General features: G+C 35.6%; 1 long non-coding RNA gene across 3 annotated transcripts in view, besides 1 other annotated feature; it reads left to right on the plus strand.

Annotated features, from left to right (window-relative positions):
* Window positions 1-26,630, plus strand: part of LOC105374557 (uncharacterized) — a 485,690-nt gene that overhangs the window by 364,463 nt on the left and 94,597 nt on the right. The gene's annotated exons all lie outside the window — the stretch shown is intronic.
* Window positions 8,675-8,969: a silencer, noted in NCBI's record as "tiled region #1062; HepG2 Repressive non-DNase unmatched - State 24:Quies, and K562 Repressive non-DNase unmatched - State 24:Quies". NCBI's record gives its function as "represses a minimal TATA promoter and a strong SV40 promoter by Sharpr-MPRA in HepG2 and K562 cells {active_cell/tissue: HepG2 | K562}" and the evidence as "EXISTENCE:reporter gene assay evidence [ECO:0000049][PMID:27701403]".

Genomic DNA, 26,630 nt, shown 5'->3' on the forward strand with positions numbered 1-26,630 from the left:
GTGCTCATGATAACTGTGGACATGGACTCTCTTGATGAATTTTCTGGTTCCCCTCTGATATGTGCACACTGTGAAACATTAATTCATTCTGCCATTCAGGAACTGCTTTTTGATACCCTGTAATGTATCAGACAATAGGGTAAATGTTGTGCAAAATAATGATAAACTGTTACAACTTTAATTATTATAGACAGAATCTGTGTTTGACATTGAGAAATCAATGAGAAATTATATTAACATGAGATTACTGTTGTGTTAAAAAGCAAAGGGGGTTTGGGGACCACATAGGAGGTACACTGAACTCTGGTATCCAGGAGGAAATTTTCCAGTAGAAGAGATTGGCTGTTACAGTGTTTGTCGCTGGTGTTGTTAGAACTCAGGGTACAAATCTTAGAGAAAGTTTCTAAGTAAAGGTTCAAGTGTAACCTCCATTTCTCTGGCTTTTATGGAAGTTAGTAACAAAAACTCTTCTATAATGTGGCTTTTAAAAGCATTCTGAAAAAATGTGCATAAAAATAGGGCTTTTGGCGAAAATGTTAATAGGATTGGTATAGGTGACTCCCAACCTGATACAAACAAAATGATAATGAAACAATTGCAATCCACATCAAAATACTAGCACAAAGAAAACACGCTAAATCCTATAGAAACAAACAAACAAACTACTCTGAAAAATATAGGACTTTGCCTTAAAAAGAAAAGGGAAAAGCAGCTTGACAAAATGGAGTCAAGAAGAGTTGAGGTTGCTGAGTCATGGGGACAAGGTCAAAATGCAGGCAAATCAGGAAAACGACTCCCCAAACAGAACAGGTGGTCAATTGGAGTCACAGGAGAAGAATGGGCACGAGGTACAGGCCTGTTTTCCTCAATGGCTTGCTGGGCTCAGCTGATATTACACAAAAATTAACTGGCTGGGAAAAATCACATTTGAGCTAATATGACTTGTCCATTATGCTAACATAAGCCCCCTGTTTATCAAGCACATGGGAGCTTATTCACACTGCAAAAACTCACATTGAAGCAGAAGAGACTGTTGAGATATTTATTGAAATGTGATGACGTTCGATTCTGTGGAATTCTGCTCTGGGGCACATTTTCTTGCTTCCCACAGTTCCTGGTACATTGTACAACCTTATTAAATATTTCTTAACCAACTGCCCCCTTGAATACGTTTAAATTCCAATAGTCCTCAGAGGTATCATGAAGGAAGCTGGTCTCACTATGCACAATTCCTTAGCTCGCCTGCAAATGGTGTGTCTATCCTTTGCACTCTCTCAGCCACTTTTCACTCCTTTCCTGGGAAAGGATGTAAGTTATCTAATTTTAAGGGCACGTTTTTAGAAGAAATCTGGGGACCAATTAGTTTTGCTTAATTGGGCACTGTTTTCATACCTAAATATGCAATTTCATGAAATTGTAAAAAGCAAACAGTGGACTAAGTTTTTGTATGTTCAATTAAAAAAAGGGGAAAATGTTGAACCTCAGGAAGGTAAAGTATTTTGCCCAATGACACTCAGCTAATAGTCGTTAGAGTTAGAATATGAATCCAGGGGTGTCTTTCTCTGACATTTATACTCTTTCCCCTAGGTTTGTCAGTGATATATGACGGCAATAAAAGTTTTATTCACTTCAATGTCAATGTATTGCCTTTTAGAAATCAAAGTCTTACTCTAAAGTAACAAAGATCTGTGTTAGATTTTAATCATCATCTACAGTTTGAGAAGGAGGAATGGTGTTCTTATAATACTTCAGTTTCTTAAATTTCTTATCCATGGTCCCACTTCAAACAATCTCTGGGAAAAAGCTGTTTAGGGCCTTCTCTTTCAATGGACTCTCTCGCCATGCAGGCCTGAGCTCTACTCATAAATAGAGCTGCTAAAACTTCTTATAGAAACAGAAATGGCTTATCTCAGTTTGTAAGAGCTTTAAGAAATCTTGAAGAGCTTTTAGATCCTATTTAGTTTAGTTTGTTTTTATAAACATCCTGGAAGTTTCTGTAGTACTTTTTTTCAGTTACGGAGGATATATTGAAAAGGATCAATTTGCTGTTTAGTACAGTATAACTCTTAGCTCATGAAGAATCTGAATAACCTCATTTCTCTTGCATGCAAACACAAAAGAAACCTACTCTATGTGGAGTGCTATGGACTGAATATTTGTGTCCCTCAAAACTCATACTTTGAAATCTTAACTCCCAAGGTGATGGTATAGGGAGGTAAAGCTCTTGGGAGATTAGGTCATGAGAGCAGAGCTCTCATGAATAGGATCATTGTCTTTATAATACAGGCCACAGTGAGCTTCCTTGACCCTTCCAACATGTGAGGACACAGTGAAAGGGCAATCATCTATGAACCAGAAAGCCAGCCCTCACTGGGCACCCAATCTGTCAGCACCATAATCTTGCACTTTCCAGCCTCCAGAACTGTGAGAAGTAAATTTCTGTTGTTTGTAAACCACTAGTCTATGGTACTTTGTTATAGTAGAAGAACAGACTGAGACATGGGGGCTTCAACTCTTAAGTTCTGTCAAACTTATTGGCAAAACCTATCTGCTTCTTATACATTGTTTGTAAAAGTCTGGCTCTATTTCCCTAATATCTCCCTTATTTACTTATAGTAACAACTTATTTTGATTTTAATTTATTCATTCATTTAACTATTTTATGTGCTGAGAATATAGTGGTAAAATGCAAAACAACATGTGTTTCCTTTGTTATAGATCATATATTCTGATGATGGTGTTAATGGGAAAGTTTTGGGGAGAAATGAAAAGAAATAAATACATAGGTTAATTTCAAAAATATAAGCCAAATAATGACTAATTTAGCATATGATTAAGTGGAATAATTAGAATCCAGTATTGTATAATCTGAAAGGGGAACACATTTTCTTGTCTAAATAACGCTGGGTACCATGGCTGCCAGGCTTGGTGGCTCACACCTGTAATCCCAGGCCTTTGGACAATAGAGGTGGGAAGATGGCTTGAGTCTAGGGGTTGGAGACTGCAGTGAGCTATGGCTTCATCACTGCACTCCAGCATGGGGGACATAGTGAGACCCCAACTCTAAAAATAAATTAGCAAATCATAAATATCAACAATTTTGAAAATATTGTACATGCTCAAAGACAATTTATTTGATTAGCCCTTACTAGAGCTTTCTTCTTAGAAGAGAAGAGTTCTCAGGAAATGGGGCATATGGTGATTGTTTTAAAGGGTATAGGGGCTACAAACTATCAGCTTATCAGCTTAAATGCTGGGGTCCTCCATGGATTAGTGCTGAAATGAAGAAACTTCCTTTGGCCATCTTGGTGGGCCCTACCACAGGGCTATAGTCTTATGGCATCTGTGGCTAATTGCACTTTCCAAAAATGACCATAGAAATATAAGTATTGTCACATACTCCCCCAGAACTTTGATACTCTTCTCATCAAAAGATAAAATCTGAATACTGTCCCCTCAAATAGGGATCATAATTTGATGGAAGTGACACTGCATGGATTCAATGGGTGACAAAAGGTGATACAGCGTCCACCTGGCTCTCTTCTCTCTTGGGACATAACTGTGAAATCCTTGTGTTTTATTTATCCTGAAGCATTCATGCTGAAGTAGTCAAATGAAGATAGAAACAGATGCTTGAGTATCCCCAGCTATTTCAGCCATCAGTTTGAATCTTCTTAAAACTAAAAATATAAGTGAGCAAACCGTCCCCAAGCCTCCACAATGCCCCAGCTGATGCTGAGTGGAACACAGATGAGACGCCACAGAGTCCTGCTGAACTGCAGATTAGTGACCAACATAAAGAGCTGTTTCAAGCTACTAAGATTTGTAGTGGTTTGTTATGCAGCCATGTGAACTGAAACACTTATATAAAATACAAGTCAATAAATTGCACTATGAGGCATGTTGTGTAATCTCAGTATATCCTACATAATTGAATGGGACTAGTGAATTGCCTATCAACTAATGAATGTGCTGATTGCTTAGACACAAACACACATACACACACTCTCACACACACACACCAGAAGCAAATTTCTAGAATACTTCTAGTGTTCCTCTGAGTTTTCTTACATAACAGTAAAAAATTTAGAAATAGGAAATCCATTTTTGCCTTCAAGTCATCACCCTTATGTCATTTTGTTGGAAAAAATTCAAGCTGTCTACCCATTGGTATTTCTCTTTTTTTTTTTTTTTTTAGAAAAACTTCTTTAAGTCTAATGTTTTAAAATTTAATATTTTCATTTTATTGAATAGTAACAAATTATAATTTTAATATTCTTGGAGTACAAAGTGATGCATGATATATGTATAAATGTGGAATAATTGAATTAGGCTAATTAGCATGCCCATCACCTCAAATACCTATCATTTATTCCTCTTTTCTAACTAAAATATTGTACCCTTTGATGAACATCTTCCCATTTCTCCCACCCCCAGCCGCTGGTAATTGCCACTCTACTCTCTGCTTCCGTGAGTGTGATTGTTTTCAATTCCACATATACATGAGAACATGCAGTATATGTCTTTCTGTGCCTGGCTTATTTCACTTAGCATTATGTCCTCCAGGTTCATCCTTGTTGTCACAAATGACAGAATTTCTCTGTTTTTAAAGGCTGAATGAATAATATTCCATTAGGTATATAAACCACATTTTAATCCATTTATCCATTGATGGACTCCTACATTGCTTCCATAACTTGGCAATTGTGAGTAATGCTGCAATGAACATGAGAGTGTAGATATTTCTTTAACAGACTGAGTTCAAATCGTTTTCGTAAATACTCAGAAGTGGGATTGCTGGATCATATGGTAATTCCACTTTTAAGTTTTTGAGGAACTTCCATACTGCTTTCCACAATGGTTATACTAATTTACATTTCCACCAATAGTGTATAAGAGTTCCTTTTTCTCTATATCCTCACCGTTTTCATCTTTCATCTTTGATCTTCTACCTTTTTGATAATTACCATGCTGACAGGTGTGAGGTGATATTTCATTTTGTCTTTTATTTGCATTTTCCTAAACATTAGTGATGTTGAACATTTTTTCATATATCTGTTGCTATTTGCGTGTCTTCTTTGAGAAATATCTACTCAGGTCCTTCGTCAATTTATTTAACAACTCTTGTTATTGAGTTGTTTTAGTTTCATGTATATGTTTGGTTTTAACTCCTTGTTACATACATGGCTTGCAAATATTTTCTCCCAATCCAAAGGTTCCCAGGTTGTCTTTTCACTCTGTTAATTTTTTACTTTGTTGTGCAGAAGCGTTTTTGTTTGATCTAACCCCATTTTTCTAGTTTTATTTTTGTTGCCTGAGCTTTTGGAGTCAAATCCAAAAAAATCATTGCTCAGGCCGTTGCCATCCAGTTATTCACCCTTGTTTTCTTCTAGTAGTCTTACAGTTTCAAGTGTTACATTTAAGTCTTTAATTGATTTTTTCAGTTGATTTTTGCATGTGGTGTGAGAAAAGGGGCCGGTTTTATTCTTCTGCAGGTGGATACCCAGTTTTGTCAATAATTTTATTGAAGAGACTGGTTTTTTTTTTTGTTTTTTTTGTTTTTTTTTTTACCTATTGTATATTCTTGGCCACTTTGTTGAAAACCAACTGACAGTAAATATGTGGGTTAATTTTAGGGCTCTCTATTTTGTTCCACTGATTGATGTGCCTATTTGTATGCTAACTGGCATTTTAAAGTTTTTCATTTTTCATTTCTATCATCTAAAGGGTCACTTATGATCTGTAAATTATAAACTGAATAATAATAATAAAGGGGTGATGGAGATGGCAGATTAAATTACTTGGTTCTAATTATTCACCTCCTTCACTCTCACACTTTGTCATGTAACTGTCCAGTGCCAACTCATTGTGGGCAGGAAGACCTACCCTTGCCTTTTAAATCAGAACTTAGCCTTGGGATTCATAATGAATATGTGTTAGCAGAAATGAAGTCATACAATATTGAAGATATCTTTGTATATTCTTCTTGTTCTCTTGTACCTCTGTCATCTCCCTGAAAACATGCTTGTGATGACACGATGGGGGTTTAGAGCTATATGCAGAGAAAAGCTGTGAGAGTATTAATGGCCCAGTCACCCCAAGCAAGAACAACCTAAATAAGTTGACAGTCAGTCAACCCCACATATGGGACTGAGCATGGCAGAGATTGAAAGCAATATCCAACCATGAGCAATCTACATCTCTTATTCCCAGACTCATGAGGTGATTAAGGGTTTATTGTTTAAAGCTGTTGAGTTTTGGCATGGTTATTAGGAGCACTCATAATATGAATATAATAAACAGTTTTAACATTACATTGGGGAAGAAAGTCTTACTGGAATAAAAAAAGGAATTTTGACTTCAGTAATAATTCAGCAATGCCTTTTTGGTATTTGTATTAGTATTTAAGATACCGTGAAATACCCTGTAGTGTAATAAAAAAATAAAATAGTGTCAGAGAATGGAGAGGACACTCAGAAATACAGTGTGCAGAATATTCCAGAATAAGAAAAAAATTAACAAGATATAAGTAACATGTGGGATTTGGATCATTCTAGGGGCAAGAGGAACGACATCTAATAAGACTTGAGATTTGCCATAAGCAAGAAAGTTGATATATTGTAGACTTCATGTTTTTAAATAGACTTTAGGGCAGTTTTACATTCATAGCAAAATTGAGCACAAGGCACAAAGTTCTCACATACCTCATTGCTCTCTATATAAACAACTTTCCTCCATCAACATCCTACACCAAGAGGTATGTTTGTTACTATCAGTAAATCTACATTGACACATCATTATCACTCAAAGTGCATAGTTTACATTAGGGCTCACTCTTGGTGTTGTATATTCCCTGGGCTTGGCAAATATATAATGACTTGTATCTACCATTGTAGTAGCATACAGAGTAGTGTCATTGCTCTAAAACTCCTCCATGCTCTGCTATTCGTTCTTCCTTCCATTCTAACCCTTGACAACCACTGATCTTTTTACTGGGTCCATAGTTTGGCCTTTTTTCAGGATATCATGTAGTTGAAAGCATACAGTGTGTAGTATTTTCAGATTGTCTTATTTTACTTACTAATGTCCATTTATATTTCCCCTTTGTATGTTCATGGCTTGACAGCTCATTTCCATTTAGAGTTGAATAATGTTCTATTGTCTGGATGCAGCATGGTTAATGTATTCATTCACTTACTGAAAAAACATCTCAGTCACTTCCAAGTTTTGAAAATTATGAATGAAGTTGCTATAAACATCTGTGTGCAGGTTTTTGTGTAGACATAAGTTTTTAGCTCATTTAGTTAAATGCCAATGAATGTCATTGCTGGTTGCTATGGTAGGATTATGTTTTGCATTGTAAGAAACTGCCAAACAGTCTTCCAAAGTAACTGTACCATTTTGCATTCCCATCAACAATTGTTTGTGTTACTCCATATCATCCCCAGAATTTGCCATTGTTCGTGTTTTAAACTTTGACCATTCTAATAGATGTGTCTGAGTATCTCATTATTGTTCTAATTTTCATTTCTCTGGTGGTACATCTTTTTATATGCTTACTTTTCATCAATATAACTTCTTTTGTTGGTTGTCTGTTCAAGCCTGTTGCCCATTTTAGGGGGTTATTTTTCCTATTATTGAACTTTAAGTGTTCTTCATATAATTGAATAACAGTCATTGATCAGATATATCTTTGGCAAATATTCTCTTCCAGTCTGTGTCTTCTATATTCATTCACCTAACAATGTATTTCACCAGAACAGTAATTTTTAATTGTATTGAGGTTAAGTTTATTAATAATTTGTTTCATGCAGTGTCTTTGGTGTTGTGACTGCATACATTTTAACTGTAATTTCTCAGTCATTAATGTGGGAAGCTGAAACAATATGTTTTAAATGTTGGCATAAAGTTGCCTTTTATAAGGCAAAAAGAGAGATAAGGAGCATGCAAAAGAAATGGTCATCACAGTTACAATAAATAATATTTCTCATATATTAAGTTTCTGGAACTAATTAAGACATTTATATTTAATATTTTATTTCATCCTCACTACAATCATATATAAGTGGTGTTAAAACACAACAATTGTTTTATAAATTAGGAAGGTGGAAGCTCAGTTAGTGAGGTTACATAGCATTCCCAAGGTCATATAGTTGGTTAGTGTTAGAGCCAGGATTCAAAAACAGAAAAATCCAGGATTAAACCCAGTAAGGATTCTATGAAACCAAAGTATTTATTTACTTAACTTCCTCAGGAAAGTTTCTAGAAAACTATAAGCAAATGCCCAACCTCCTGAGATGCGGACATCGCTATGAGTGCAACTAGAAAAGGGTTCCAGTGATGTGAGGAAACGAGGCAAATATATTTTTCTGTTTCTGGCTTACAGCCCAAGATACTGGAGCCTCCCTCCTCTCATAGCTTCTTATCATTTAATTATTAGCAGCCTTAGCTAATCATTAATTATGCACTGTCAATTATGCTTACATTATTATTTGAAATGGATACAATATCTGACTGATTTGACTAAAATAACCCCCTTGTTTAATTGTCAATTTGCATAAATTCAGATGCAATGAGATGTTGCACAGTGATTCATTAGGCATTGAAAACAGCAGCAACAACCTGAACGACGGGAGGCTCAGTCTTGCAAATTATTGCCATTTTCATCAGGAAAGGAATTCCATTACAACTGACTTTCCTTAGTCTGAAATTGTGATGAGGAATTTGCAAACTTGAGCCATCATAGGTTTTATAGGGTGACACTAAAGGCAAACACACATCTATGACCACTGGCAAGACATCTGTCCCGCATGTAATTGAAACTTTCTCCTGTGCTGGTCCAGTGCTTTGATAGCAGGGCAATAGATTTCCATGCTGGTGCTCTCATTATAGGGATGGCTGTCTGAATGTGATCCTTGAGTCTAGGGAGTTGAATGACTCACTTCCCCCACTTACTGTAAAGTGAAATTTCAACTGAAGGTGAGTGCGGTGAACTAGCAAATTTGCTTCAAAGCTGTTTTCCTATACTTCCATAGTAATAATATTTTGAAGTGCCTACTATGTGCTAGTCGTGTATTAGGAATTAAGAGTAATTGCTCACATTTAATAAAAACATCCCTATACAAATTTATGGTGCTATCATAGTTTTAGAAGTCACAAGTTTAACAAGTGTCAAACCTGCAATATATTCTAAATTTAATGGACTCAGATCTCTTCTGTGTTATAACTCCAGTACCTATAGGGTATTAACTGGCACATCTAGAAAAATAACTTACATTTTTTTCATATTTAATAAATACATATTTTTTAAAGTATATTAAGACATATATTCTTCTATTTCTAGTGGGGCTCTATTATTTAAGCCACTACTGATACAAAGTTGTTTTTAGGCAAAGCGTAATAACATATTTTTTGAATTTTTAAAATTGTATTTTATTTTTAATTGAAAAATAATAATTGTATATATTTATGGTATACAATGATATTTTAAGATACCTGTATGCACTGGGGGATAATTAATTTTATCTAACTAACATATCCATCACCTCACATAATTATCATTTGTTTTTTGATGATAACATCTAAAAATCTACTCTTTCAGCAATTTTGAAATATACATTATTTGTAACTACAGTATCTGTTATAGCTTAATAATAAGGGATATTTGTATGGTGCTACAGTTTCCAAATAATTCAAATTTACAGAGAGTAACATAATCTCTATTACATTATTAGAATTTAGGGAGTAGTATTATAATACCCACTCTTCAGACATGAAAATTCAGAAATTTACTTACCCAAAACTGTAAAACTCACGAATGAAGAACTTAAATAAAAGACTTATATTTCCTAAGTCTATCCTCTTTTCTCTCATCTATACTTCAGTGCTTTTATTGTTTTCTCTTTTCTCTTTTTAAATTTAATTTTAGGTGCTCAGTGTTCTCATGGATGGCTTCTGACTCTCCAGGTTTTCAAGCAAGGGTACTCGAACTTGCGTATGTGCAGTATTAAAGGCTAAGATACTTTTCTATGAGGTCTCCACCTTATTAGAATTTATTTCCCTTGATTCCTACACTAACAGGATCTAGGAAATAGTCCTTCCTTTGCAAATTGTTCTTCTTGCTTCTTCAAGCCAGAGTTAATGTGCCATCATAACCTTTGAATGCTGAGAAACCTCTGCCATCCTGTCTCATATGCTAGCTATTAACTAGAAAGTATTTTTTCTGGACATTTTCATTTTATCTTTGACCAATTTCCCCATATAATAAGCAAATTACTATGTAGGAAACTGCCAACATGGCTTAGAAGTTAACAAACATTCATTAGGTTTAAGGTCCTAAAAAATTGAATAATATTGTACATTTAAAAAGTAATAAAATAATAAATAAATGTACATCAAGAAATGATGGGTTTTAAAATAACCAGTAGAAAAATTTGGAAAGAAAATATATCAAAAAATCAAATGAATCCAGGAGCTAGTTTTTTGAAAAGATTAGCAAAATAGGCAGACTGCTAGCTTAGGCTAATAAGAAAACAGAGAAGAATCAAATAGACACAATAAAAAATGATAAAGGGGATATCACCACCGATCCCGCAGAAATACAAATTACCACCAGAGAATACTGTAAACACCTCTATGCAAATAAACTGGAAAATCTAGAAGAAATGGATAAATTCCTGGACACATACATCCTCCCAAGACTAAACCAGGAAGAAGTCGAATCCCTGAATAGACCAATAACAAGTTCTGAAATGGAGGCAGGAATTAATACCCTACCAACCAAAAAAGCCCAGGACCAGACAGATTCACTGCCAAATTCTACCAGAAGTGCAACGAGGAGCTGGTACCATTTCTTGTGAAACTATTCCGAACAATAGAAAAAAAGGGACTCCTCTCTAACTCATTTTATAAGGCCAGGGTCATCCTGATACCAAAACCTGGCAGAGACACAACAAAAAAGGAAAACTTCAGGCCAATATCCCTGAGGAACATCTATGCAAAAATCCTCAGTAAAATACTGTCAAACCAAATCCAACAGCACATCAAAAATCCACGATGATCAAGTCAGCTTCATCCCTGGGATGCAAGGCTGATTCAACATACACAAATAAATAAATGTAATCCATCACAGAACAGAACCAATGACAAAAACCACATGATTATCTCAATAGATGCAGAAAAGGCCTTTGATAAAATTCAACATTACATCATTCTAAAAACACTCAATAAACTAGGTATTGATGGAACATATCTCAAAATAATAAGAGCTGTTTATGACAGACCCATAGCTAATATCATATTGAATGGGCAAAAGCTGGAAGCATTCCCTTTGAAAACTGGCACAAGTCAAGGATGCCTTCTCTGGCCACTGCTATGCAACATAGTATTGGAAGTTCTGGCCAGGAAAATCAGGTAATAGAGAGAAATGAAGGTTATTCAAATAGGAAGAGAGGAAGTCAAATTGTCTCTGTTTGCAGATGACATGATTATATATTTAGAAAACCCCATCATCTCAGCCCAAAAACTTCTCAAGCCGATAAGCAACTTCAGCAGTTTCTCAGAATAAAAAATCAATGTACAAAAATCACAAGCATTCCTGTACACCAACAATAGACAAGCAGAGAACCAAATCATGAGTAAACTCCCATTCAAATTACTACAAAGAGAATAAAATACCTAGGAATACAACATACAAGGGATGTGAAGGACGTTTGCAAGGAGAACTACAAACCAGTGCTCAAGGGAATAAGAGAGGACAAAAACAAATGGGAAAAAATCCCATGCTTATGGATAGGAAAAATCAATATTGTGAAAATGGCCATACTGCCCAAAGTAATTTACGGATTCAATGCTATTCCCATCAAGCTACCATTGACTTTCTTTGAAGAATTAGAAAAAATACTTTAAATTTTATAAGGAACCAAAAAAGAGCCCATATAGCAAAGACAATCCTAAGCAAACAGAAGAAAGCTGGAGGCATCAGTCTACCTGACTTCAAACTATACTACAAGGCTACAGTAACCAAAACAGCATGGTACTGGTACCAAAACAGATATACAGACCAATGGAACAGAATAGAGAACTCAGAAGTAACACCACACATTTACAGCCATCTGATCCTTGAGAAACGTGACAAAAACAAAACTGACTAGCCATATGCAGAAAACAGAAACTGGACCCCTTTTTTACACCTTATATAAAAATTAACTCAAGATGGATTAAAGACTTAAATGTAAACCCAAAACATAAAAATTCTAGAAGAAAACCTAGGCAGTACCATTCAGGACATAGGCATGGGCAAAGACTTCATGACTGAAACACCAAAAGCAATGGCAACAAAAGCAAAAATTGATAAATGGGATCTAATTAAACTAAAGAACTTCCTCACAGCAAAAGAAACTAGCATCTGAGTGAACAGGCAACCTACAAAATGGGAGAAAATCTTTGAAATCTGCCCATCTGACAAAAGTCTAATATCCAGAATCTACAAAGAACTTAAACAAATTTACAAGAAAAAACAAACAGCCCCATCAAAAAGTGGGCAGAGGATATGAACAGACAGTTCTCAAAAGAAGACATTTATGTGGCCAACAAACAGATGAAAAAAAAAAAAACTCATCATCACTGGTCGTTAGAGAAATGCAAATCAAAACCACACTGAGATACCATCTCATGCCAGTTAGAATGGCCATCATTAAAAAGTCAGGAGACAACAGATGCTGGCGAGGCTGTGGAGACATAGAAATGCTTTTACACTGTAGGAGTGTAAATTAGTTCAACCATTGTGGAAAACAGTGTGGTGATTCCTCAAGGATCTAGAATCAGAAATACCATTTGACTCAGCAATCCCATTACTGGGTATATACCCAAAGGATTATAAATCATTCTACTGTAAATATACATTCACACATACGTTTATTGCAGCACTATTTAAAACAGCAAAGACTTGGAACCAACCCAAATGCCCATCAATGATAGACTGAATAAAGAAAATGTGGCACATATATACCATAGAATACTAGGCAGCCATAAAAAAGAATGAGTTAATGTCCTTTGCAGGGACACGGATTAAGCTGTAAGCCATCATTCTCAGCAAGCTAACACAGAACAGAAAACCAAACACCGCATATTGTCACTCATAAGAGGGAGTTGAACAATTAGAACACGTGGATACAGGGAGGGGAACGTCACACAGTGGGGCCTATCCGGAAGTGGGGGTCAAGGGAAGGGAGAGTATTACGACAAATACCAAATGCATGTGCAGCTTAAAACCTAGATGACGGGTTGATAGGTGCGACAAACCACCATAGCAAATGTATACCTGTGTAACAAGCCTGCACGTTCTATACATTATCCAAGAACTTAAAGTAAAATTTAAAAATTAAAAAAAAGAAAATACATACATGCTTTGAAATACAAAGTATGCACAACAAGTGGAATAATAGTAAACCTATATATAGTTAGATTGGATTTCTAAATTGGAAAATAGCACTGAAGAATAAAAAAATATAGGGAAGACCACCTATTTGATAACACAATAGGGTGATGACATTCAATAACAACTTAATTGTGTATTTTAAAATAACTTAAATAATGTAAAATAACTTAGAAATGTAATTAGATTGTAACTCAAGAGAAATATCTTTAGGGGAAGAATAAAAAATACAGGGAAATAAAAAAGTAAAAATATGAAGAATAAATTTATAAGCATAGATAACACTGAATAAATTTTTAATATTTTAATATTTTCCTAATAGAATAACAGGGATAACTTTCAGGGAAATATGGCTGAAACTATTGTTGAACTAAAGAAGTATATGAATTATCTTTGTGCACTGACTTTATACTGATTATATAATGGGACAGCAATATGTTAAGGATGAAGAAAAATCTCTAAATCCCAACTAAAGAGAAAATATACATACAAAGGAATAAAAATATGATTGAAAATAAAACTTATTACAGTAAGATTACTATAAAACAAATAACTTTCAACATAGAATTTCCTAGCCATTCAGACAAGACTATTACATGAAATTTTCAGATATACAAAGAATATATACTACCAATAGATTCTTACAAATTACCCAATAATGTATTTCAAACCAGAAAACCCAAACAAAAAGAATAAAATATGAACAACTCAGCAATCTTGGGTTAAAATACAGAAATCAAAAAATCAGTTAAATTCAACAAATTATACACTATCAAATTATAATCTTCTGATATAGTTTAACTATGTCCCCACCCAAATCTCATTTTAAATTGTAATTCCCATAGTCCCCACATGTTCTGGGAGGGACGAGATGGATGATAATTGAATCATGGGGGCAGATTCCCCCATGCTGTTTTCCTAGTAGTGATTTCTCATGAGATCTGATGGTTTTATAAGCATCTGGCATTTCCCCTGCTGACACTCATTCTTGCCGTCCTGTCACTCTGAAGAAGATGCCTGCTTCTCCTTTGCCTTCAGCCATGATTGTACGTTTCCTGAGACCTCCCCAGCAATGCAGAACTGTGAGTCAATTAAGCCTCTTTTCTTTATAAATTAGCCAGCCTTGGGTATTTCTTTATCAGTAGCATGAAAACAAACTAATACAGTTTGTTTTCAACTCTCACTCACCACAGAGAGTGAGGCGCTGCTGTAAGAATGCCCAAAAATGTGGAAGTGACTTTAGAACCGGGTAACAGGCAGAGATTGGTACAGTCTGGAGGACTTAAAAGAAGACAGGAAAATGTGGGAAAGTTTGGAACTTCTAGAGACATGTTCATTGGTTTTGACCAAAATGCTGATGGTGATATGGACTATGAAGTCCAGGCTGAGGTGGTCTCGGATGGAGATGAAGAACTTGCTGGAAACTGGAGTAAAGGTCACCCTTGCCATGCTTTAGCAAAGAGACTGGCAGCATTTTGCCCCTACCCTAGAGATCTATGGAACTTTGAGGCTGAGAGAGATAATTCAGGGTATCTGGTGGAAAAAATTTCAAAGCAACAAAACATTTGAAGAAAGCAGCACATAAAAGCTTGGAAAATTTTCAGCCTGACTTCGATAGAAAACAAAAACCCATTTTCTGGGGAAAATTTTAAGCTGGCTGCAGATACTGGCATTGATAATGAGAAGCCAAATATTAATCACTAAGATAATGGGAAAATGTCTCCAGGCCATGACAGAGACCACCCCAGCAGCCTTTCCCCTCGTAGAGGCCTAGGAGGGAAAAATGCTTTTTTGGGCCAAGCTCAGGGCCACCTTGCTCTGAGCAGCCTCAGGATGTGGTGCCCCGTGTTTCAGCTGCTTCAGCTCCAGCTGTGGCTAAAAGGGTCCAAAGTACACCTTGGGCCATTAACTCAGAGGGTGCAAGCCCCAATTTTTGGTGGCTTTCATATGGTGTTGAGTCTGTGGGTGCACAGAAGTCAAGAATTGAGTTTTAGGGACATTTGCCTAGATTTCAGAGGATGTATGGAAACACTTGGGTGCCCAGGCAGAAGTTTGCTGCAGGGGTGGAGTCCTTATGGAGAACTTCATGGAAATGCTCCCATTCCAAATGGGATAAATTGGCCAAAAAAGTGGCTACAGGCCAGATGCAAATTCAAAACCCAGAAGGGCAGTCATTAAATATTAGAGCTCCAAAATGATGTCCTTTTACTCCATGTCTCATATCCAGGGCATGCTGATGGAAGGGGTAGACTCCCAAGGTCTTGAGACGTTCTGCCTCTATGGCTCTGTAGGGTACAGCCCCCATGGCCACTTTCACGAGCTAGCATTGAGTGTGTGTGGCTTTTCTGGGTGCACAGTGCAAACTATCAGTAGATCTACCATTATGGGGTTTAAAGAACTGTTGCCCTATTCTCACAGCTCCACTAGGAAGTACCCCAGTGTGCACTCCCTGTGGGGGCTCCAACACCATATTTCCTCTCTGCACTGCCTTAGCAGAGGCTCTCCATCAGGATTCCCCACCTACAGCAGACTTCTACCTGGACATCCCTGCATTTCCATACATCATCTGAAATCTAGGCAGGGGGTCCCAAACCTCAACTCTTGCCTTCTGCCTACTCACAGGACCAAAACCTTGTGGTAGCCACCAAGACTTGGGGCTTGCACCATCTGAAGCAATGGCCTGAGCTGTACCTTTCCTTATTTTATGTATGGCTGGAGCTGGAATGGCTGGGATGCAGGGCGCTATGTCTCCAGGCTTCACAGGGCAGCTGGACCCTGGGCTTGGCCCACCAAACCATTTTAATATGATAAGCCCCTGGGCCTCTGATGGGAGGGGCTTCCCGCAAATGTTTCTGACATGCCCTGTAGACATTTTCCTCATTGTCTTGGCAATTAATATTTGGTTCCTTTTTACTCATGCAAATTTCTGCAGCCAGCCTGAATTTCTTTGCAGAAAATGAGGTTTTCTTTTCTACCACACGATCAGGCTGTAACTTTTCCAAACTTCTATACTCTGCTTCCCTTTTTAAAACATAAGTCCCAATTTCAGATCATCTCTTTGTGAATACCAATAACCGTACACTGTTAGGAGCAGCCAGACCAAATCTTGACTACTTTGCTGCTTAGAAATTTCTTCTACCAGATGCCCTAAATCATCTCTCAAGTTCAAAGTTCCATAGATCCCTAGAGCAGGGACACAATGCCACCAGTCTCTTTTATATGGCATTGCAAGAGTGACCTTTACTCCAGTTCCCAACAAGCTCCTCATCTCCGTCTGAGACCACCTCAGCCTCTTATTCTCCATATCACTATCAGCATCTTGGTCAAAACCACTCAAAAAGTCCTCGGAAGTTTCAAACTTTCCCACATCTTCCTCTCCTCTTCGGAGCCTTCCAAACTATCTCGACTTCTGCCCACTACTCAGTTCCAAAATCAGTTCCACATTTTCTGGTATCTTTATACCAGTACCCCACTTTCCTAGTATTAATTTTCTGTATTAGTTTGTTCTCACACTGCTATACAGAACTACCTGAGACAGGGTAATTTACGAAGAAAAGAGGTTTTGTTGGCTCACAGTTCCATAGGCTTAACAGGAATTGTGACTGGGAGGGCTCAGGACACTTACAATGATAGCAAGCAGGAAAAGGAAAGCAAGCATATCGTACCATGGTGGAGCATGGGACTGAGTGAAAGTGAACAGGAAACTGCCGCACACTTTTAAACCATCATCTTGGGAGAACTCACTATCATGAGAAGAGCAAGGGGAAAATTCACCCTGATTACCCAGTCACCTCCCACCAGGTCCCTCCCCTGACGTGTGGGGATTACAATTCAAAATGAAATTTGAGTGGGGACACAGAGCCAAATCATATTACCCCGTGACACGAGATTACCTATATAATAAATCTCTGTATCTATCCTTGAACCTAAAATAAAAGTTAAAAAACAACAACAAAGTGTTTGCATCTGGAATACATAAAGAATAATAATATTTTATCAGTTTCAAACATAAGTAACAGGCTTGAATAGAAGTTTCACAAATGAGTATATAAGAAAACATATGGCCTGTAAGTACATAATAGTGGTCAACATCATTTGCCTTCAGGAAATTCAAATTAAAATCAGGATGAAATACCAATCTACACCTACTGAAATGACAAAAAAACTAAAGCAAAAGAAAATCAACAGTACAAATATTGGCAAGGATATGGAAAAATTAAAACTTCTACAGATTTGTAGTAAGAAAATACATTGACACAACCATTTGAATGTTTGATTTTTTTAAATGTAAAATATGCGTGTAGGGAAGAAAATGTAGTATCTTTTCCTCAAACATTGCAAGGGTCTTGGCTGGCACCTCTATAACAAAAGACAGATTAACAAAAGACAGATTAACAAGAGAAAGCAATGACAAATTAATGTAACAAACTTTTACATTACACATGAAAATCTTCAGAAAAAACCCAAAGACCGAGAGAAAACTATGTACTTTTATGCTAAGTCTGATGAAAGAAGTGGATAGTTGTGTAGAAAAGTGGTTGGACAAAAATGGTATTGTAAATGTGATTATTATTGATATTATTTTGAGACAGAGTTTTGATCTGGTTTGCCAGGCTGGAGTGCAATGGTGCGATCTCAGCTCACTGCAACCTCTTCCTCCCGGGTTCAAGTGATTCTCCTGTCTCAGCCTCTCAAGTAGCTGGGATTACAGGCGCCTGCCACCAAACCCTGCTAATTTTTATATTTTTAGTAGCGACAGGGTTTCACCATGTTGGCCAGGCTGGTCTCGAACTCCTGACCTCAGGGGATCTACTTGCCTCAGCCTCACAAATTGCTGGGATTACAGACATGAGCCACCGTGCCCGGCCTGGTAAATATTATTAATGGTAATAAACTTGGGGGAATTCAGCAAAAACCTGTTTAGAGCTTTTCTGCATCTCTGTGTCTGTGACATCCCTTTCCTCTGTGTATGGGGCATGACTGCTCTGGAATGAGGATCTTATAAGCTATTTTTAATTGTGGTAGTTGAGAGAAATTGGTAATGATCTTTCATTACACAGAATGGCAAAGGAGGGTCAGAGTGACTTTCTTGCTTCTGAAGCATTCTCAATTGCCACGAGGCCATATTTTGGGTTATTGTGTTCTGAGCCATGACATACACTACCCTACAATCCAGTAACCATACTTTTAGATATTTATCTAAGATAAAGAAAACATGACTTCAAAAACCTCTGTACTCTCTTACATAAGTAATATAATGGTGGCTTTTTTATAATACCCTCAAACTAGAAACTGCCCACCTGTTCATCAACAAGGAAATAGATATGCAATGGTGGATATGAATAAGAAAGTAATTCTTGAAAAAAGAATCAAACTATTTATATACACAAGAACATTAATGTATCTTAAAACCGTTATGACTAGTGAAAGAAGTAATTCATAGAAGAGTAAATACTGCGTAATTCAGTTTTTATAAAGTCCAAGAATAGGAAAAATTAAGCTATGTGGATAAAAATCAGATCACTGATTTCTGCAAGGAATTGACTAGGAAGGAGTTTAAGGAACTTGCAGGCTGATGTTAATGCTCTGTGCCTGAAAAAAAGATGGGGTTTACTCAAATAAATACATCTTTTAAAAACTGAAGGAACTATATTCTTAATACTTCTACATTTCAAGTATGTAAATAATATCTCAGAAACAGATAATAGTAGCTTTCTACATTTCAAAATATGTAAATAAATCCTATATAAACAGTAATAGAGGAAAAGAAAAGGGAATTTTTTTTCTTGTTTGGAAGGAAGAGAAACATTCCAATTATCAGAAAAAGATAATTTTAAGTAGTTTTGTGAAATATGTATGTGTAATTATTAATAGTACTGTGTGATTTATTATTTCACAAGTCATGTCAGAGCATAGCAGTAAAATAATGGTAGTACAAAAGAGAAAATAAAAACTTTTAAGCCAATGGGAGGCAGGAAATTTGAGGGAATAAGAAAAAGAAAAAGCACAACCAAAGCCAAACAGAAACTACACACACACACACACAATAAATTGGCAGACCAAAAGATGAAGTATTGATTAACTATATGAATGTAAGCAAATTAATATCTGATTGACATAACAAGAGAGCAGATGAATAATTGTCCTCTGGGCACAGAGCAAGTGACAAGATTGAGAATTGAATAACCAGTTTATTTTGTGCAGAGTAGGCACTTAAATACTAGGCAGCATCTAGGATTTCAGGCAACTTTGGGGGAGATATTTTGTGATAATGATTGAGAAACAAAGAACTGAATTCATTTACAGAGTAAACTAATTTTGTAATGCATACATCAGTTTATAAATGCCCATTATGAAGATTTGCTAGTCACACTGGCCTCCTTGCTGTTTCTGGAATATGTGAAACACATCGTAATCCTGCATCATGCTGTGTTCCTTATTTCTCCCACTATGGTGAATGTCCTGCTGCCAGATACCTGCATGGCTCAACTCTTTCTCACTGTATTCACATAACCACTTAAATGTTACCTTAGTAAAGAAGATTTGGCTCTACTCTATTAAATATAGTAGTCTCTCCCTTCTGCCCTGTCACTTTCTATTCCCTTATCTTACCCATCTGACATTGTGTGTGTCTGTATTAATTAACTTGCTCATTGACCATACCCACTGAACAGAAGGTGCCTTCCATGAGAGTAAGATTTTCCCCTATAAAGTATCAGCAATGTTTTGCGAGTAGTAGGTGGTCATTAAATATTTATGGAAGGAAATGTGAATGCATTGCATTCTTTCCTTCCCCCACAAAAGTACTTATTTTATTATTTAATTGATAGCTTATTGAGATATTTTCCTAACTTATTGTAGTAGTCCATTTTCACACTGCTAATAAAGACAAACCAGAGACTGGGAAAAAAGAGATTTAATGGACTTACAGTTCCACATGGCTGGGGAGGCCTCATACTCATGGTAGAAGACAAGGCAGAGCAAGTCACATCCTACATGGATGTGCAGGGAAACTCCCATTTTTAAAACCATCAGATCTAGTGAGACTTATTCACTCTCATGAGAACAGCAGGGTAAAGACCCACCTCCTTGATTCAATTACCTCCCACTGGGTCCCTCTCATAACACATGGAAATTCAAGATGAGATTTGGGTGGGGACACAGCCAAACCATATCTCGTGTTTTAATTCATTTAACAATTAATCATTCAATAAGGAATTCCAGCATCTATGTCTATACTTTTTTGCACTTGTCTAGATAATGATTTTTCATGATGTTATTATATCTATTGCAGGTAGACATTTTTGGTAGATTTATTTCTAGTGAACATGTAATAATAAAGACACACTACCATTTGGGGTACTTACTATGAAGCAGTCACTAGACTAGGTACTTTAAAACATTACAAAAGATAATTCTTGTAAAAATACATAGTTTTATTAGATCAGTTTTATAGATGAAATAATCTGAGAGTTAAAGAGTTGAATCAGTTTGCTTTAGGTTATGGAGCCTGATTTGCCTTGCTTAATAACAAAAATTGGGACAGAAAGAGGCTTGACTTGTAGCATTTTCCTGGTTCCATGGTGTAAGTATCCATATCATGGCTTATTTCAAGCCACAAATGTGATCATTGAACACAGAAATCGAAACAGAAACTAACAATCAGCTCCTATGAGCCACTGTATATTACTAATATTTGGCAAAGACAGAGAACAAACCATATCTGTTTGAATCCATGTTTTCAGTCACTACACTGGAGTTACCTAAGACAGTGACTGAGCACTGTTTAGATGTACTTTAAAATAAATCTAAAGGTATGGATCTTTTTTTCAGTGATATTATTTGGCCTGAAAAATACTCATTGAAGAAGTAAATCTACTTTGTTGACTGTTGGAATAGTATGAGCCTCCATTTCCAGTCCCTGCTCAATTGACAAGAATACAATTCTTTTTCTCAGTATCTGTTTCTTTCACACTATAACAAATTGGTTGGCTCTAGTTTTGTCTTTTATCAGGGCTTGTTGTCTAATATCTTCTTTCTCTCTAACCAATATGGATGATGAATCACATCTGTTCCCCAAGTAATGACTTCAAAGGAAGAGTTTAAAGCTCTACCTGTGAGTTTCTGCTATGTTTGGTTATTTTCACATTGTTGTATAATAGATCTCCAAAGACCAGGAAAGAAGACGAGGTCTATTTCTAAAACCATTATGGCATAATCAAGAATGAGAAAAATGCTGGGGTTTTATTCTGCCTTGTGATGAAAATGAGAAGCTATGGGTAGGAAAATTTTAATAACCAAATAAAAATTACAAGATAGCATATCAACTAGTCTATGTGCCCAAAAGACAAGGGAAGACTACATTAAGAATAAGATTCTCTGGTTAATGAGATTGTTTTAATAAGAATATGTAAGTGTCCCAAGTTAAATAACAAACTTACTTGCACAAGTATCTGTTCTTGGAAGTTAGATATATTTCTTTGCCTATCAGAGTACTTGCCCATACACAGTGTGAATGCCTGATCATATAAAACTGTGCTCTTATTAATATAGGGTTTCTTCAATGTGAAATATGTCTAATACATTGGCTAATAGTTGCATACAAATTAAGATAATACTGTCAATATTTTCTAATTTCAAATATGAAAATAACTGTTTGAAAATACAATAGAGTTATTTCTCACTTACTTTTTTTTGTTTTTGGAATCATACAATTTTAAAATCTCAAATATTTAAACTACCATAACAAAATATCTATATAAAGCCTTTTATCATGTCAAAAGTAGCCATATCCTGCCATATTCTAGCTGACTTTACTTCTTGATTATGATTATTTAAAGATAAAAGATAATAGAATGAGAAATGAAGGGGAGATTAGATTTGTAACACCTTTGAAAATATTTGAATAGCAATGTGTCTTAAATATTTAATAGATATGAATTACCACTGTATGTTCTAAAATAATATAATTGCACATAAACTCCTTGTCTTCCTTATTTTAAATGCATTCAGGGAAAAGTTATTCAAATAAAAAATGATATTCCCTGGATGAAAATCATAGAATTATAAGGTTCTTATGCATCTACTTACTATGCAGACTTAATAAGTAACAGGTTTTATGAGACTGAAATATTGTTATTATTCAGTTCAACCATTTAGTCTTAAAATACTGTCAATTTTAAAAAGCACAGTGCTGAGTTTGCAGCAGCTTCTGAAATAGCTTACCCCTTTGTTAAAGTATCTTTGGGTTTCCTTAACCTCAAGAAGCAGTTGTATTCTAAAATAAATATTGCAGTTTTCTCAGCAAGTTTACAATTAAATCAACATTTATTAATATAGAGTACATTGGGTATACATTTATTTATTGCCTCAGAAGCAATAAATGCAACCTACTTTTTGCTTCATTACATTTAAGATATGACAACTGGAAAGATACCCTCATTAAGCCAAATACTTTTTATTCCAGCGATGGATTTGTTAATATTTTAAAAATTAGTTGAGATTTAAGACTTATCTGTCTTCTGATGTAGATAATGCCAGTCTGGGCAATGTCATTTTGAACAACGTTAAGATTCACTGTGAAGTTATACTCATCATCTGAGGCCCAGGCTGAATCACATCTCTGCTAGAAGCATTTATCTTTTTAAATTCATGGGATACAAAGTTTAGAATAAACATTAGAACTCATCGTGTCATACCTCTAGACCAAAATTTATCAAATACTTTTGCATCAACTTTGCATCAGTAGCACATAGCAAAACCATCCATAAAATCATACACTTAAAAGAGTGAAGCCCAGAAATCTGAATTTAAACTGACAGTACAAGTGACACTTTGCGTTATAAAATTGTCAAACGACCACTCCAGCACAGCTTGATATGCTTCTTTGACAGCTTTTCCAGTGGTTGAATATCTTTGGAGGAAAAAACCATGCTACGACACTACACTCAAACACTACTTATAATCTAAGCAGTTCTATTAAAAATATAAATATACCTTATACATACTTTGTTACCATTTTTTACTTCCAAAAGTCTATTTAATCTTTGTAAAATGACACTGAAATCTTCCAATATTTTCAACATATTTTAACAAATTATGTAATGCAAATAGGCCTTTGCATTATTGACTAAATGAAACACTCATTCATGTCAAAAATTCTCAACAAACTAGGAAGAGAGGGGAGCTTTCTCAACTTGATAAAGCACATATACAAATAACCTCTATTGGACAATGTATTTAGTAGTGAGAAACTGGATGATCTCATTTTAAAATTGGAAATAGGTAATGATACCATTCCTCATCAATTATATGAAGCATCATATTGGAATTCCTAGCTAGTGCAGTAAACGTGAAAAGAAATAAATATATACATTTTGGGAGGAAGAAATCAAATCATTTGGTTTACAGATGACATAAATGTCTATGTAGAAAAACTCAGAGTCTTCAAAATTTAATAAATAAAACCTCAAATAAACTAATATAGGAAAGACACAGGATACATGGCTGATATACAAAAGCTAATTGATTTCATATATACCAGCGATAAACTGGTATTTGAATTTCTAAAAAACATACCATTTACAATACTCCCATCCCAAAACCAAAAATGAAACACTTAGGTATAAATCTAATGAGATATCTATTACATCTACGTGCAGATTCCTACAAAACTCTGATGAAAAAGATCGAAAAATTAAACGAAGGAGGAGATACTTCATGTTAATGTATTAGAAGACTCGATATTGTTAAGATAGCAGTTCTTCCAAGTTGATGTATAGATTTGATGCAATTTCAGTCAAAATCACAACAAGCTATTCTATAGAAACTTGCAAACTTATTATAAAGTTTATATGCAAAGGCAAAAGACCTGGAATAACCAAAACAATGCTGAAGAAGAGGAACTGTATTAGTCTGTTCTTATGCTACTATGAAGAAATATCCAAGACTGGGTAATTTATAAAGTAAACAGGTTTAATTGACTCTCAGTTCCTTTTGGCTGGGGAGGTCACAGCAAACTTACAATCATGGTGGAAGGGGAAGCAACATATCCTTCTTCACATGGCAGCAGGAGAGAGAAGTGCCAAGCAAAAGGGAAAAAAGGCCCTTATAAAGCCATCAGATCTTGTGAGAACTCACTCACTATCATGAGAACAGCAGCATCAAGGTAACTGTCACTGTGATTCAATTACCCCCCAGTAGGTCCCTCCCATGGCATGTGGGGATTATGGAAACTACAATTCAAGATGATATTTGGGTGGAGACACAGCCAAATCATATCAGGAACTAAGTTGGATGATTCAAATAATATGATTGCAAGACTTATAAAGTTACAATAGTCAAGACAATGGCAATTTGATAGAAAAGGAATAGTCTTTAACAAATGATGCTGAAACAAGTGGTTGTACATATTAAAAAGAAGGAACCCAGTTACAGACCTTATATTTTTCACAGAAATAAATCACATTGAATCATACATGTAAATGTGAAACAAAAATATATAAAACTTTCGGAAGAAAACGTAGGATGTCTAGATGAAACAAGTGGTTGTACATATTAAAAAGAAGGAACCCAGATACAGACCTTATATTTTTCACAGAAATAAATCACATTGAATCATACATGTAAATGTGAAACAAAAATATATAAAACTTTCAGAAGAAAACATAGAATGTCTAGATGACCTTTGGTTGGGTAACGAGATTTGAGATATAACACAAAAGGATGATCAATGAAAGAAGCGATAGTAGTTGAACTTTACCAAAATTAAAAACTTTTGCTCTGTCTAGTACACAGTAAGAGAATGCAAAGACAAGGCACAGACACGAGAAAACATATGTTAAACCAGTGCTATCCAACATATACAAATAACGATTATAACCCAACAAAAGTAAACACATGAACCAATTTGAAAGTGGTTCAAAGAATTGATGCTCACTAGAAAAGATATAAATATGGCAAATAAGTGTATAAATGATACTTGACATCATATGTCATCAGGAATTGCAAATTAAAACAATTACCTGATATTCCTACACACCTATTAGTACAACTATAATCCAAAGACACTGGAAATAGCAATTGCTGAGCAAGGATTCAGAGCACCAGGGACTGTCATTCATTGCTAGTAGGAACACAAAATGCTATTTCTGTTTTGGAAACGGCTTGGCAGTTTATTACGAAGTTAAACGTAGCCTTATCATATGATTCAGGAAATAGACTCCAGCATATTTACAAATCTGGCTTGAACACCTATGTCAACATGAAAAACTTTATGTGAATGTTTATAATACCTTTATTCATAATTACCAAAAGCTATTCTTCAACAGATGACTAAACCATGATATATCTATACAATGGAATATTATTCAGAGATTAAAAGAAATGAGCCATCAAGACAAAAAGATGTGAATGAATATAAAACGTATATTGATACGTTTAAAAAAGACAGTCTGAGAAGGCTGTATGGTACAATTTCAAATATATGACATTCTGGAAAAAACAGATTTACGGTAAGTGGTACAAACGGCAGTGGTTACTAGTGGGTCAGGGAAGGAGAATAAGATTGAATAGGGGAAGCACAGTACTACACAGCTTAGTCTACATTCATATATTTTCTTATTCTGACAGATGAGAGAGCCTAGAAGCACTAACATCCCAATAGCAATGAGCACACTTAGTGCATCTATGTTTCTAACACTGTTCACTGAAAAGACTCAGGTAAACTTGAAAACATCACTGATTGTAAGACTGGGGCAGCAGGAAATATACAAGATGATCCTGAAACTTCTTGTAGTACTAGAAAATAAAGAAGTTCTCCAAAACCACCTAACCAATAAGCAGACAAACAAACAAACCTACATACATTGATGAGGGTTTGTCAAAGGGACACAGGAGCCAACTGAAGGAGGTTCCAATGGGCATAACTAGAAAAATTTGAGACATACAATAAACAAAGTACTTTTGGATTCTAACTCAAAGTATAAAATACATGCCCATGAATTATACTGATATGAATACATAAGAAATGGGAGAGATGAGACAAATCTGTGCAGAATTAGTTTAATAATTTATGTAGATATATCTCCCTCAAGATATGGAGAGTAAGTCTTCACACTTTAAGTGCATGCTGTACAAAGTGTCTTCCTTGCAAAGAGTACACTGTGGAATGGCTTTGGGGTGGGGGAGGCGTAAA

Source organism: Homo sapiens, chromosome 4, assembly GCF_000001405.40.
Source record: "Homo sapiens chromosome 4, GRCh38.p14 Primary Assembly".
Lineage (NCBI taxonomy): Eukaryota > Metazoa > Chordata > Mammalia > Primates > Hominidae > Homo > Homo sapiens.